The sequence below is a fragment of the Homo sapiens genome, chromosome 7, assembly GCF_000001405.40.
Source record: "Homo sapiens chromosome 7, GRCh38.p14 Primary Assembly".
Lineage (NCBI taxonomy): Eukaryota > Metazoa > Chordata > Mammalia > Primates > Hominidae > Homo > Homo sapiens.
The window spans coordinates 55095260-55095531 of record NC_000007.14 but is presented as its reverse complement, the minus strand read 5'-3'; the positions used below and the strand labels follow the sequence as shown (position 1 = coordinate 55095531).

The window sequence follows — 272 nt, the reverse complement described above, 5'->3', positions numbered from 1 at the left end:
GGCCCACACTCCCAAGCTGCCCTGGGCAGGGAGCTGTGTGTTGAACCAGGACTGTCTCTCCCAAAGGACAGGGCCTAATTCAGGACCCACTGAAGCAGCTTCAGTAAAATGACTGTGGCACGCCTGCCTGTGAGAAGGCAAATAATGACAATGACAGTAATAACTGTCAACCTCATTGGGCCACTCTCCTCACTTAATCCTCACAACAGTCCAGTATCTTCCCCACTGTACAGAAAAGGATGCTGAGTTTTGAGAGGTTAAGTAACTTGAGC

The 272-nt window shown here is 50.0% G+C and overlaps 1 protein-coding gene across 9 annotated transcripts in view; it reads right to left on the bottom strand.

Moving 5' to 3' along the window:
* The window catches only part of EGFR (epidermal growth factor receptor), a 192612-nt gene that overhangs the window by 116097 nt on the left and 76243 nt on the right, over positions 1 to 272 (bottom strand). The window lies entirely within an intron of this gene.